This window comes from Homo sapiens, chromosome 12 (genome assembly GCF_000001405.40).
Source record: "Homo sapiens chromosome 12, GRCh38.p14 Primary Assembly".
In the NCBI taxonomy this organism is placed as follows: domain Eukaryota; kingdom Metazoa; phylum Chordata; class Mammalia; order Primates; family Hominidae; genus Homo; species Homo sapiens.
The window spans coordinates 2,101,090-2,115,006 of NC_000012.12; the positions used below are offsets into that span (position 1 = coordinate 2,101,090).

The 13,917-nt window shown below is 51.5% G+C and overlaps 1 protein-coding gene across 55 annotated transcripts in view; it reads left to right on the top strand.

Annotated features, from left to right (window-relative positions):
• CACNA1C (calcium voltage-gated channel subunit alpha1 C) overlaps positions 1-13,917 on the top strand; it is a 727,171-nt gene that overhangs the window by 130,310 nt on the left and 582,944 nt on the right. The window lies entirely within an intron of this gene.

Genomic DNA, 13,917 nt, shown 5'->3' on the forward strand with positions numbered 1-13,917 from the left:
TGGAAACAATTTCTGTATTATTTCATATTTTTCAAAATGTAATTTTCATGGCTTCCTAAAATGCTGTCAGTGGATGTGCATTGATTTCTCTAACCATTTCTCCAGTGACGGGCTTCTAGGTTGTCTTCAATTTGGTACTGGTATCATTCACACCGTGACGAGTACCCAGGCGCAGAGCTTTGCCAGACTCTTGGATTAGTTCTCTCAGGGTAGCTCCTGAGAAGGGTGGTGAATGTTGGAATTTCTTAACAACTCCCACCAGAGTGCTGAACTGCTGTCCTGACAGGGTGGAGCAGACCACGCTTCCCCCGGGCAAAGTGCAGGAGGCTCTAGGAGGGGTTAGGGGCTCAACCTCCCCCTCCCAGGTGGGGCTGTGGGAGCTACAGCTCCATCGTCGTCCTCACCGTGCAGAACAGAAATGCACGCTCCGCCTCCCTGAGTGTCAGGCCTGTGGGTCCGTGAGCTCCGAGCCTCAGGAGTAGGGGCAGCCTCTGCTGCAGGGACCACTGTGCCATCCCACTGAGTCCCGTGACCCACGAGGCTGGGTGTTCAGAGGCACGAGGTGGAGTGCGAGCAGGTCCTGCCGGTTCCCAAGGGTGCCCGCCCAGTTCAGTGGGTGACAGTGAATGCGCAGGGTGAGTGAGGATTAGCTGAGGGAGCCATTCTCTCGGATGGTGGCAGAAGGAGGCTGGGGCCACCGAGAATACTAAAAACTGCCCTCACAAGGTCGCTGCCTCCTGTGTTCTAGTTCTGCTGCCTGGGAAAGCTGTACTCACCCTCTGCCTCTGCCCTCCTACCAATAAACTGGGCCAGAGCAACAGAACCCCTGCATCATGGGACCAAAGTCCAAGTAATTACTATTATGGGGAAAAAAGCCTTGGGACAGTTACGTTTTGAGTCATCCTTTTATTCAACACATTGGTAGTGTGCACATACCACACTCCAGGCTGCCCTGGGCTCTGAGAATACAGTGGTGCAAAACAAAGGCTCATGCTTCCTGGGACTTCCCTCCTGTTGGGAACAAGAAACACATATTCATTTAACCAATGATAATAGATACATTGAACATATGGCAAACATACTAATTTAAAATAACGGAAGAGCATCTTCCCCGTATACTTCTGCACGGAAACCTTTGAAGGCCAAATTAAAGTTCTGTAAAAGAACTTCCATGCAGCCAATGTGTTTTGAGTGCCTCCTGGCAACACTGTACTAGGATTTGAGGCCACAGTGCTGTTTCCTGCTCTCAAGGAGCTTGTGAGTTGCTGGGAAAATAAGAGAAGGACCCAAGTATTAGACTTTAACTCATCTCAGGCGTTCAGCAGCTGAAGGAAAGGGGAGGCTGAGCCAGTGTCTGGGTCCCCTCAGTGTGGTACCTGGCTCTGGGGCATTCTTCCCCACTGTCTGCACACCCTCCCTTCTCCCCAGACATCAGCAACCTGAAGGATTTCTCCTTTTTGTAGATGGCTGTCTGTCCTCAGGCAGGCAGATTATTTTTTATTTTTTTTAATTACACTTAAATTCTGGGGTACATGTGCAGAATGTGCTTGTTTGTTACATAGGTATAGACATGCCGTGGTGGTTTGCTTCGCCCATCAACCCATCATCTACATTTGTATTTCTCCTAATGCTATCCCTCCCCTATCCCCGTACTCCCCGAAAGGCCCTGGTGTATGATGTTCCTTACCCTGTGTCCATGTGTTCTCATTGTTCAACTGGCCACGTATGAGTGAGAACACACAGTGTTTGGTTTTCTGTTCTTGCACTAGTTTGCTGAGAATGATGTTTTCCAGCATCATCCATGTCCCTGCAAAGGACATGAACTCATCCTTTTTTATGGCTGCATAGTATTCCATGGCATATATGTGCCACATTTTCTTTATCCAGTCTATCATTGATGGGCATTTGGGTTGGTTCCAAGTCTTTGCTATTGTGAACGGTGCCGCAGTAAACATATGTGTGCATGTGTGTTTATAGTAGAATGATTTATAATCCTTTGGCTATATACCCAGTAATGGGATTGCTGGGTCAAATGGTATTTCTAGTTCTAGTTCCTTGAGGAATCGCCACACTGTCTTCCACAATGGTTGAACTAATTTACACTCTCACCAACAGTGTAAAAGTGTTCCTATTTCTCCACATCCTTTCCAGCATCTGTTGTTTCCTGAGTTTTTAATGATAACCATTCTAACTGGCATGAGATGGTACCTCATTGTGGTTTTGATTTGCATTTCTTTAATGACCAGTGATGATGAGCTTTTTTTATATAGTTGCCTGCATAAATGTCTTCTTTTGAGAAGTGTCTGTTCATATCCTTTACCTAGTTTTTGATGGGATTTTTTTTTCTTGTAAATCTGTTTAAGTTCTTTGTAGATTCTGGATATTAGCGCTTTGTCAGATGAGTAGATTGTAAAAATTTTCTTCCATTCTGTAGGTTGCCTGTTCACTCAGATGATAATTTCTTTTGGTGTGCAGAAGCTCTTCAGTTTAATCAGATCCCATTTGTCTATTCTGGCTTTTGTTGCCATTGCTTTTGGTGTTTTAGTCATGAAGTCTTTGCCCATGCCAATGTCCTTAATGGTATTGCCTAGGTTTTCTTCTAGGGTTTTTACGGTTTTAGGTCTTAAGTTTAAGTCTTTAATCCATCTTAAGTTAATTTTTGTATAAGGTATAAGGAAGGGATCCAGTTTCAGCTTTCCGCATATGGCTAGCCAATATTTCCAACACCATTTATTAAATAGGGAATCCTTTCCCCATTGCTTGTTTTTGTCAGATTTGTGAAAGATCAGATGGTTGTAGATGTGTGGCATTATTTCTGAGGGCCTCTGTTCTGTTCCATTGGTCTATATATCTGTTTTGGTACCAGTACCATGCCGTTTTGGTTACTGTAGCCTTGTAGATAGTTTGAAGTCAGGTAGCGTGATGCCCCCAGCTTTGCTCTTTCTGCTTAGGATTGTCTTGGCTATGCGGGCTCTTTTTTGGTTCCATATGAAATTTAAAGTAGTTTTTTCCAATTCTGTGAGGAAAGTCAACGGTAGCTTGATAAGGATAGCATTATATCTATAAATTACTTTGGGCAGTATGGCCATTTTGATATTGATTCTTCCTATCTATGAGCATGGAATGTTTTCCCATTTGTTTGTGTCCTCTCTTATTTCCTTGAACAGTGGTTTGTAGTTCTCCTTGAAGAGGTCCTTCACATCCCTTGTAAGTTGTATTCCTAGGTATTTTATTCTCTTTGTTGCAGTTGTGAATGGGAGTTCACTCATGATTTGGCTGTCTGTCCGTTATTGGTGTATAGGAATGCTTGTGATTTTTGCACATTGATTTTGTATCCTGAGACTTTGCTGAAGTTGCTTATCAGCTTAAGGAGATTTGGGGCTGAGACAATGGAGTTTTCTAAATATATAATCATGTTATCTGCAAACAGAGACAATTTGACTTCCTCTGTTTGTATTTGAATACCCTTTATTTCTTTCTCTTGCCTGATTGCCCTGGCCAGAACTTCCAATACTATGTTGAATAGGAGTGGTGAGAGAGGGCATCCTTGTCTTGTGCCAGCTTTCAAAGGGAATGCTTCCAGTTTTTGCCCATTCCGTAATCTCTGCTGCCACACTAAAAAAGTTGAAATGCTGATTTTTCAATAAATGTGAATTAATCCTTAACTAGGGCCTGTAATTTAGATTTGCTATCACCAGGTGCTGATAGGCGCCTTAGTTCAAGTAGCAAGAGGTCTTGACTTCCTTCCTCTCCATGCTTGGAAATAAGTGGAGGAAGCATTTGGTTATTATGGCAAAAATTATGGCAATTTGTCATCTTCAGTTGAAGGCCGTGGCTTAGCTGTGTGTCTGTCAGTTTGTTTTCTTCCCTATGGTCTCTGATGTCAATATGAGAGCCCTCGAGTGCCAAGGGCGTTATATCAGGGTCCTCTCACCGAAGCAGTGTTGGCCTTGTGGTCATCGCAGGTGGTTTGCTTCCAGGCGTTCCTTACGAGGCTTCCTTTTCCTTTCTTTACCTTCTTTCAGCCAGCTGCCCCATAAATAACAGAGAGCAAGTGTGGTTTACTGGATCACTAGCAGGTGTGAATGCTGTAGCTTTTCCGCTTTTCCCATTGGCTTGGGCCTCTGAAGTGCTCCAGGCTCTTTGCCTTCTCCAGCCTTCATGTAGTCATCAGAGGCAGGTGGGTTGTAGGACAGAAAAGATACAGTTGTATTTGAGGGAGTACTCGTCAGTTGGGTTGGGGAGAGAGCCGCAGATCTCCTGGCGCCCTCACGGTCTCCTTGTTTTGGAGCACATTTGACTGCTGTGGTCATGGGGCCTGTTCTGGGCACCCCACCTCTCATGAACTGTGTCTGTAGCAGGATGGGGGAGAGGAGGACCGGCAGAGTGACAGAATGCTGCTGGAAATGGTGTGAAAATAGCTCAGGTAGGAGGAAGCGCAGTCAGATGCGGCATGGCGGCGGGCGCATCGGGAAACCACTGGGCGCCCACCCCGGGGAGGGTTTCCACCTCAGCTGGGCGTCCTGAAGCCACTGGGTGCCCACCCCGGGGAGGGTTTCCACCTCAGCTGGGCATCCTGAAGCCACTGGGCGCCCACCCCGGGGAGGGTTTCCACCTCAGCTGGGCATCGTGAAGCCACTGGGCGCCCACCCCGGGGAGGGTTTCCACCTCAGCTGGGCGTCCTGAAGCCACTGGGCGCCCACCCCGGGGAGGGTTTCCACCTCAGCTGGGCATCCTGAAGCCACTGGGCGCCCACCCTGGGGAGGGTTTCCACCTCAGCTGGGCATCGTGAAGCCACTGGGCGCCCACCCCGGGGAGGGTTTCCACCTCAGCTGGGCGTCCTGAAGCCACTGGGCGCCCACCCCGGGGAGGGTTTCCACCTCAGCTGGGGCGTCCTGAAGCCACTGGGCGCCCACCCCGGGGAGGGTTTCCACCTCAGCTGGGGCGTCCTGAAGCCACTGGGCGCCCACCCTGGAGAAGGTTTCCACCTCAGCTGGGCGTCCTGAAGCCACTGGGCGCCCACCCTGGAGAGGGTTTCCACCTGAGCTGGGCGTCCTGAAGCCACTGGGCGCCCACCCTGGAGAGAGTTTCCACCTCAGCTGGGCGTCCTGAAGCCACTGGGTGCCCACCCCGGAGAGGGTTTCCACCTGAGCTGGGCGTCCTGAAGCCACTGGGCGCCCACCCCGGGGAGGATTTCTACCTCATCTGGGGCGTCCTGAAGCCACTGGGCACCCACCCCGGGGAGGGTTTCCACCTCAGCTGGGCATCGTGAAGCCACTGGGCGCCCACCCCGGGGAGGGTTTCCACCTGAGCTGGGCGTCCTGAAGCCACTGGGCGCCCACCCTGGGGAGGGTTTCCACCTCAGCTGGGGTGTCCTGAAGCCACTGGGAGCCCACCCCGGGGAGGGTTTCCACCTCAGCTGGGTGTCCTGAAGCCACTGGGCGCCCACCCTGGAGAGGGTTTCCACCTCAGCTGGGCATCCTGAAGCCACTGGGTGCTCACCCTGGAGAGGGTTTCCACCTCAGCTGGGCATCCTGAAGCCACTGGGCGCCCACCCCGGGGAGGGTTTCCACCTCAGCTGGGGCGTCCTGAAGCCACTGGGCGCCCACCCCGGGGAGGGTTTCCACCTCAGCTGGGCGTCCTGAAGCCACTGGGTGCTCACCCTGGAGAGGGTTTCCACCTCAGCTGGGCGTCCTGAAGCCACTGGGTGCTCACCCCGGGGAGGGTTTCCACCTCAGCTGGGCGTCCTGAAGCCACTGGGCGCCCACCCTGGAGAGGGTTTCCACCTCAGCTGGGCATCCTGAAGCCACTGGGCGCCCACCCCGGGGAGGGTTTCCACCTCAGCTGGGGCGTCCTGAAGCCACTGGGCGCCCACCCCGGGGAGGGTTTCCACCTCAGCTGGGGTGTCCTGAAGCCACTGGGTGCCCACCCCGGGGAGGTTTTCCACCTCAGCTGGGGTGTCCTGAAACCACTGGGTGCTCACCCCAGGGAGGGTTTCCACTTCAGCTGGGGTGTCCTGAAGCCACTGGGTGCCCACCCCGGGGAGGGTTTCCACCTCAGCTGGGGTGTCCTGAAGCCACTGGGTGCTCACCCTGGAGAGGGTTTCCACCTCAGCTGGGGTGTCCTGAAGCCGCTGGGCGTCCTTAAGCCACTGGGCGCCCACCCTGGAGAGAGTTTCCACCTCAGCTGGGCGTCCTGAAGCCACTGGGTGCTCACCCTGGAGAGGGTTTCCACCTCAGCTGGGGTGTGCTGAAACCACTGGGCGCCCACCCCGGGGAGGGTTTCCACCTCAGCTGGGCGTCCTGAAGCCACTGGGTGCTCACCCTGGAGAGGGTTTCCACCTCAGCTGGGGTGTGCTGAAACCACTGGGCGCCCACCCCGGGGAGGGTTTCCACCTCAGCTGGGCGTCCTGAAGCCACTGGGTGCTCACCCTGGAGAGGGTTTCCACCTCAGCTGGGGTGTCCTGAGGATTTCTCTCGCTTAGGCTGGAGGGGAATGCCAGCTTCCCCATTTGGCCATTGAGAAGAAAGTCATCTCTCATTTATGTGATGAAAATATTAGACACTGAAAAAGGACTTTTGGTTTCTACATTGTTTTTTGGGTCTTAGACTCTCTTATGCTTTGAAAATATGTCTTTTTGCATAGGGTGGTTAATTCTTGATCAGAAAATCCACCCACCCATCAACATCTGAATTCATTCGCTATTGCCTTTTTAAAAAGTTTTCCCACAATTTTGAATTCAGTGCTCTGCTCGTTATCTTCCCCACTTCTCACATTTCTTTGTCACCATGCTCTTCCCACAAGGACTTTGTCTTAATACAGCACAACCTGTGTTGCCCAGTGTGGGCGCCTCTAGCCACATGTGACTATCTGAATGTACCGTAATTGAAAATTAAGTAAAATGCAAAATGCATTTTGTCAGACGTGCTAGCTACATTTCAGGTGCTCAGGAGCTGCGTATGACTGGTAGCAAGGGCTCCGTAATCCAGCCTAGGATTATAGAGCATTTCTATTACTGTAAATGTTGTATTGGACAGTGTTGCTATAGACTGGTCTATATATCTCAGTCAGGGTTCAGGCCTATAACAGAAACTTCTGTAGCCGTGTTTAGAGGAAAGATAGTACAGGAATTTAGGGGCTTATACAATAATTGGAAATGCTGCAAGAGCAGGCTTTAGGCCGGGTCTGTGGGAATGATTCCCAAAACAGTGCTGCAGAACAGGCCCCCCGAGGGAACTGCGGTTCGGGTACAATTATGAGGCTGGGGGACCTGGAAGCCACTGTGCCAAGGGCTGGCTCTGGGATCACACCGCCTTATGCATGATCCAGGAATCAGGAAGCCACTGGTGTGGCCCTGCCAGCCAGATACCTGCAAAATAGATGCTTCCCCACCTGACGTAGTTTTGATTCAGTTCTTGATTGGCAAAAGTTGTGTCAGGAATTCTCGCTCCAAGGGAGGTTGGGAGCCATTGTGTTTAGCCCTCTGGCCCCTGCAGTCCAGCGGGGCACCGTAGGAGGAGGGTGGAAGAGCTGCTGAGACCGCAAGTTTACCAGCCTCCCACCCACCACATGGTGCTCAGCACACACCATCCTTCCAGAGAGGAGTGCCACTGGGGTTGAGATGACAGGGCCTCGGGTTATCGTCTGAGATCGAGAGACGGTGTCCTCTCTGTTCACGTCCTCCAGCTATCTGTGTACTGCAATAGATAGGGAAGATTAATGGCCCAGCTTTCTAGTCATTGGGCCTTTAGTGGGTGGAGAAAGTCCGGTTTCTGTTCCAGGTTGTCTGCGATACTCTTAAAGGGAATGCAGGCCCCTTGTCACTACAGCAAGATGACAGACAGCAAGAGCCAAGTGGGCTTCTGGGTGACATGTTGGCCTGAGAGAAGGCATTTCCTTTGCCCTGCAGAGATTGCTCAGTGGTCAGGACTTTAGGGAGAAATTTATTTGCAGTTCTTCCCTTTCTAGGTGTGAGCTGCGGCTGCTCACCCTCTCTAAATCGATGTGGGTGTCTGTGTCTACGAAGGTGGAGGAGTGACCTGCTTTTGTGCTCACAGAAGGCACCAAGGCCAAGCAGGGTGACTGCTGCTGAAGCAGGCTGGCAGCCCCAGACCTTTTCCTACTCACGGCTGATTGGGGGGTCCCTTTCCAATGCCAGGGGCGTTGGGCATGTTTATTCAACGGTGGCATGGAGGCAGGGAAGTGGGGAGAACACTGGCAGCTAGTGTTTGAGTTCTGCTTGTTTGGAGTGGGGGCTTGAAGAAGGGATCACCTGAGCCCAAACCTGAAACGTGAGAAGGGATTGCCTAGCAAAGGGCAGAGGGAAGAACATGAAGGACATTCTAAGTACATGCAAAGGCACTGCGGCAGGCAAGAGCTGAGCATGTCTGAGGCATGAAATGAGCCACTGTGTCAGGAGTGCATTGGACCGGGCCCAGAGGGGAGTGAGGTGAACTCAGAGAAGTGGGCCAGGGCCAGTCTGTGCAGGTGTTGTAAGCTGTTGACAAGGAGTTTGGATTTTGAAGGGATCTAACTAGGGGAATGACAGGGCCCAATTTACGAGTTCTGTTTTTAAAAGGTGACTTTGGCTGCTGCATGGAGATTGGCTTGGGGATGGCCAAGAGTGGACTGAGGAAAAGGTCAGGGTGGCTACTGCAGCACTTGTGGGCAAGAGATAGGTAGTGGCCTGGACTAGGATGGAGATCTTCCTCACAACCCCTTTCCTTAGAACTTCTCCCCCATGGTTACATCCAAGAAATCAGTAGAAGAGCATATGGCTTGAGAATAAGCCCATTCTTTAGGGGTGGCTGGACTGACTCCAGCAGTGTTCCTTCTACAGTGTCACTGTAGTCCACCTTCACCTGTATCATGACAGCATTATCGTTACAGTCCTTAGCAAACTGTGTTGAGCATTTTCTGGGATATGGCCCTGAATCAGGTGCAGAAATAGAGATGGATTAAAGAAAAAAAAATTGTTTCATCACTGAACACCTTCCAAGTCCCCAGCACCAAGCCCCTCACTCACAGGGGACACCCAGGAGGCACATGCCACTGACTCCTAACTTGGACTCCTCACTTGGACCCTTGCAGAGCAGAATGACACGAGGCTGGCCAGACCGTGCTGGGGTCCTGCCCTCATCCTGGTCCCCAGCAGCAGCACCTGGGTGCAGGAGGAGGACGCAGATGCTGTCTTCAGGGGAGCTGGGCCATTTGACAGGTGGGAGGCATTTTCTTATGACTGGGGATGAGGTCACTGCTGGGGGCACCTACCTGTTGGTGTGTGGCCTGATCTGCGAGGCAGCTGCTCAGGGCCTTGTTCAGGGGTGGGAGCATCCGTGGAAACAGCCCAGTCAGACAGAGCCAGAGCAGACTTAAATGGTGGCATCCTTTCAGCTGGCAGCCAGGAGGCTGAGCTTTGAATCAGCTTTATAATTTGAAAATTGATCTCTTTGCATTGGGTGGTGATTTCGTGCTAACAAAAGCCGTCAGGGACACAATGCTGCCTGCCCTACCTTCATGGCACCACTCTGGATTCAAAACATTGAGCCAGAGATGGGGATTTTCCACTCCTGGGAGTCTTCGGTAGTTGTGCCACCCTGTTGTGGGTGACCCGGAGATACTGGTAGAACATTTCAAGTGCTCAGGAGCCACATATGACTGGTAGCCAGGGTATTGGACAGCCTAGGATTATAGAACGTTTCCATTACTGTAAGCATTGTATTAGACAGTGTTGCTACAGACTGGTCTATATGTCTGAGGTCAGGGTGGGGATCTACCGCAGTGGGTGGGAAAATTACTTGGAGAAGGGGAGGCCCAGGCCCGGAGGTGGTCAGTCCCGAGAGGCCATACCTGTCTCACCCGAGAGGCCACACCTGTCTCACCCGAGAGGCCACACCTGTCTCACCCGAGAGGCCATACCTGTCTGTCTCACCTGTGTGCGGCTCTGCACTCCTGTGCAGGGCCCTAGTCATGTCATGGGACCGCAGCAATGCGCAGAGCTGCCAGGACCAAAATAGTGTAGGTTGTTTTCTTGGCCTCTGGCTAGGGAGAGGTTGACATTCCATTTTTCCCCATGGGCTGGTTCATATGTGCTTTCTCCAGATGGTGTGCTCCAGAAAGGTCCTTGCGCTCTGGGAATGGTTTACAATATAAATAAGGTCCCTCATGGAGTTTTGGGAGGGCTCAGAAGGCAGCCCACCAGGATGTGGTTTTCAGAGCTGCCCCAGGGCTCTGCACAGCCAGCTGCCGTCTTGGTAGCTTCTACCTCGTGCTCCGGGTGCAGGGATGCTCCCCTCACGCAGCTTTTCTGGGTGGTGGATGTGTTCTCAGGCTGGGGCTTCCTGCCCTCTTTCCAAGTGTTGTCCCCAAACTCCTGGGACTCTTGGTTTTTGGAACTGGCAGCCCGTATGAGATGGGGGGATTAAGGGCAATGCAGGGGGGTGAGTACAAAGATTAAGGTCTGGGGACAGCCGTCTCAGGGGAGGCGTGAGCTGTGGAGGGCTTACCATGAGTGAATTGGGGGCTGGGAATGCCAACAGTTGGGGACAGGGCAGCTTTTATGTATCTGAGGGAAAAGGAGAAGTTAGTCTGGGAACTAAAATAGTCTATTAAATTTTGTCAGTGCCAAACAGAGAGTCTAGGAAGAAAAAATTATATACCACAGATTGAATGGAGCAAAATTAGAGTTCCAGCCTTCCCTGGCAAGCCAGAGAAGCAGGAGTTGCTCAGTGGCTCCAGTACAGCAGATGGAAACAGGGCGCTTTCCACTTTTGCCTAAGAGGCGCCCCGAGGTTACTGCGGGGGCAGGTGGTGTAGTGGATGCTGTCACGTGGAGATCATAGTAAACAGAAAGAATGTTCTTGGGGTCAGAAATCCAGCCCCTTGTATCTCGAGGCCTGGAGAAGCCCAGGAGGAGGCGTGCACCTTGTCTGTCACCATGTACACGAGCACATGTGTGCGTGCATGTGGAGTGTGTGAGAGAGGGCTGAGGAGGCAGGGGTAGAGTCTAGCAGCTCACCGTGAGCCCTGTGCCTGCTGCAGCAACCCTCCGTCGCCCCATTCTGTGACCTTTAGTGAGTCAGACACTCCTTTGTCTTCTTATGTGTTAAATGGAGACACGCATGCTTGCTGGGTGTTCAAGCAGTTCTCATGCTTTGGGTGCCTTCATTAATTCCAATGCACTCTTTACATCTTTTCCTGCTGGATCTTATGAGAAAGGTTAAGGTCCCGGCCTTATTGGGGTCTTCCTCACGTTAGGCTTGGGATCTACACAGTGAGTGCAGGGAGGACAGGGACGAGTTACAGGAGAGATGAGACGTCTCATTGTAGGGAGTGTCACGTCCTCCGTGAGCCTGATGTTCTGTTTAATGCAGTTTATCCCTGGGGCAGAGAACAGGAGGAAGGTGAAGGGAATATATATGGTGAGGTGAGAGTCGGTGTCACATTGAGAATGTGGCTATGAACTGGGTGTGGCAGAGAGGCAATTTTCCAGGCCTTGAGGAGTGGAGGCGGGGCTGTAATGCTACAGGGGCCAGATGGCGGTAGAGCAGGTGGCAACTGTTGCGGGACAGGAGGCAGCTGACCAGCTGGTCTCCAAGAGGACCTGAGGGGTCTTCTTGGGATCATGCAGGGGTGGTAGCTATGTGGCATGAGTGATGCCATTCCCTGCCCTTTGTGCCCATGGTGGGCAACACTAATCTATCATCCTCAGAGTCCCTTAAGTATATAGCATTGTGGACAGTGATGTCAATCAATTGGCATAAAAGTTGAAACTTATTGTCTGTCACTGGTGTGATGGAAAGGATATAGACTGGAGTCCAGCAGAAATGACAGCCCCACCAGGTCCAAGCTTTGGGCACCTACCAAGCATATTAGCTCGTTTTTCGGTTGCAAGGGACAGAGACCCAATTCACATTAGCTTTAGCTAAGTCACTTAAGTCACTTAAACATCACAGTGTGTGGGGGAAAATCACTTGGAGAAGGGGAGGCTCAGCCAGCCTTGCAGTACAGCCCTAATGGAGGTCAGCCCCAAGAGGCCACACCTGTCTCACCTGCCTCACCTGCGTGTGGCTCAGGTAAGGGCTAACTTCAGGTGTGGCTGGATGAGGAATCTGGTGAGGTTGCTCGGGCTCTGCCTCTGGGGCAGGCTCTCTCTAGGTGAAAATGTTCACATGGCTAAGCCAGGTCATGTGCTCTTCACAGGTTCCTGTGGGGACGGGGTGGAGGTGGGGGTGATAGGTTCTGGAAAGCAGGTCACATGGGGAGCAAAGTTATCTTGGAGGTCAAACATAGAAGGATCAGCCCAAGATAAGAGTTGGGGAGGTGGCTGGGAGAGGCGCCAAGTGTTCATCTGTGTCTTAACAGGTGAGGAGAGGGAGGGGGTCAATAAGGTTGAGCCAGCAACCTTAGGACCCAGCAGCTTCCCTGGAAGACCCTGTGCACATGGACCAGAAAAGGCCACTGTGGGCGGCCTTGGGTGTCATGTATGTGCAACTGGTCTGGCTGCTTCGGCCACAGTCTCTGGGCAGCTGAAGTGTCCTCAGATGCCAACCTCACCGCCCACAGTAGCACCCTCTTATCTGCGGCTTTTCTTGATCCTGCGGCACCTGGCCAATTGACTAGCGGTACCACGTCTCAAGGTCATGCATGTGTTCTGGGAGATTCAGGTTTGGGCCAGGCTGAGCTGATCGCTTGGCAAACCTTACAGACTCTAGAGCGAGGCATCCAGCCTAACAGGCCAAAGAGTGTTTGCCAAGCATATGTGCTGTCTTAGGGACAGTCTCAGAGGCTTCGTTGCCTAGACACCAGAGCAGGGCAGCTGTCCCTGCGCAGGTTGGAGCCCTGGGTTGCACTGGTTCCAATCAGGTTTCCTTCCTGACACTGTCCCTCTCCCCTACCCCATCAACCCCTGCCACTCACAGCTCCTTTTCCCAGATAGCAAATGCTGTCTAATGAATCACCCCAAAACAAAGTGGCTCACAACAGCAGACACCCTGTTACTGCTCAGTCTCTGTGGCTCAGGAATTCAGGAAGTTCTTGTGTGGGTCAGTAATTCAAAAAGTTACTGATTTGGGGCAGTCCTGACTTGGGGTCTCTCCTGGGGTGGCAGTCAGATGGTGATTGGAGCAGCTGGGGGCTGGCCAGGGCTCCCTCTTGCCACATGGCCTCTCTGTTGAGGCTAGTCTGGGCTTCCTCACAGCATGGCAGCTCAGGGCTGAAAGGCTGCCTTGTGTGGGGGCTGGCTTCCTCCAGGACGACCATCCAGAGACAGTCAGGGGGATGCAACGTGGCTTTTTTTTTAACCTATCCTTGGAAGTCACACAGTGTCACTTTTGCTGTACTTTATTGGTAAAACAGTCACCAAAGGCTGACCTCATTTCAAGAGGAGGGCCTAGATCTTTCTCAATGAAAAGGGATGTCAGATATAAAGGGATTTGTTGACATGATTTAAAACCATCACAGCTCCCCTGGCCCCTCCTGGTCAACCAACACTTAAAGCCCAGATGGCTTTGAGGTAGCTGGATGTGACCTTACTCTAGTCCAGCCCTTCTCATTTTATTATATTTATTTTTGTTTATTGGAACTCAGGTGCAGAGAGTTGAGTGAATCATACTCCAGTTCATTGTACGTTTTCCATCATTGATTCATGCAGTGACCTCTCATATTCACTCACTCATTCATTTATGCTTCCTCCTTGCCCCTGTATCTTATGCTCATTTTCCTCCTCACCTTCCTTAAACAATCATTCTATTCGATTTCATGAATATCCTTTCATTTGCATGGGTTCTTAAAATATGTATTTTAATTTCTAGGTAATGTGTTGTGTTGTATCTGTTTCTGCTGAGGTCCATACGTGCTGTAATGCACGGATCTCATCTCTTGCCCACCTAAGGTGAGGCAAGGAGACTAGAGCGGAGT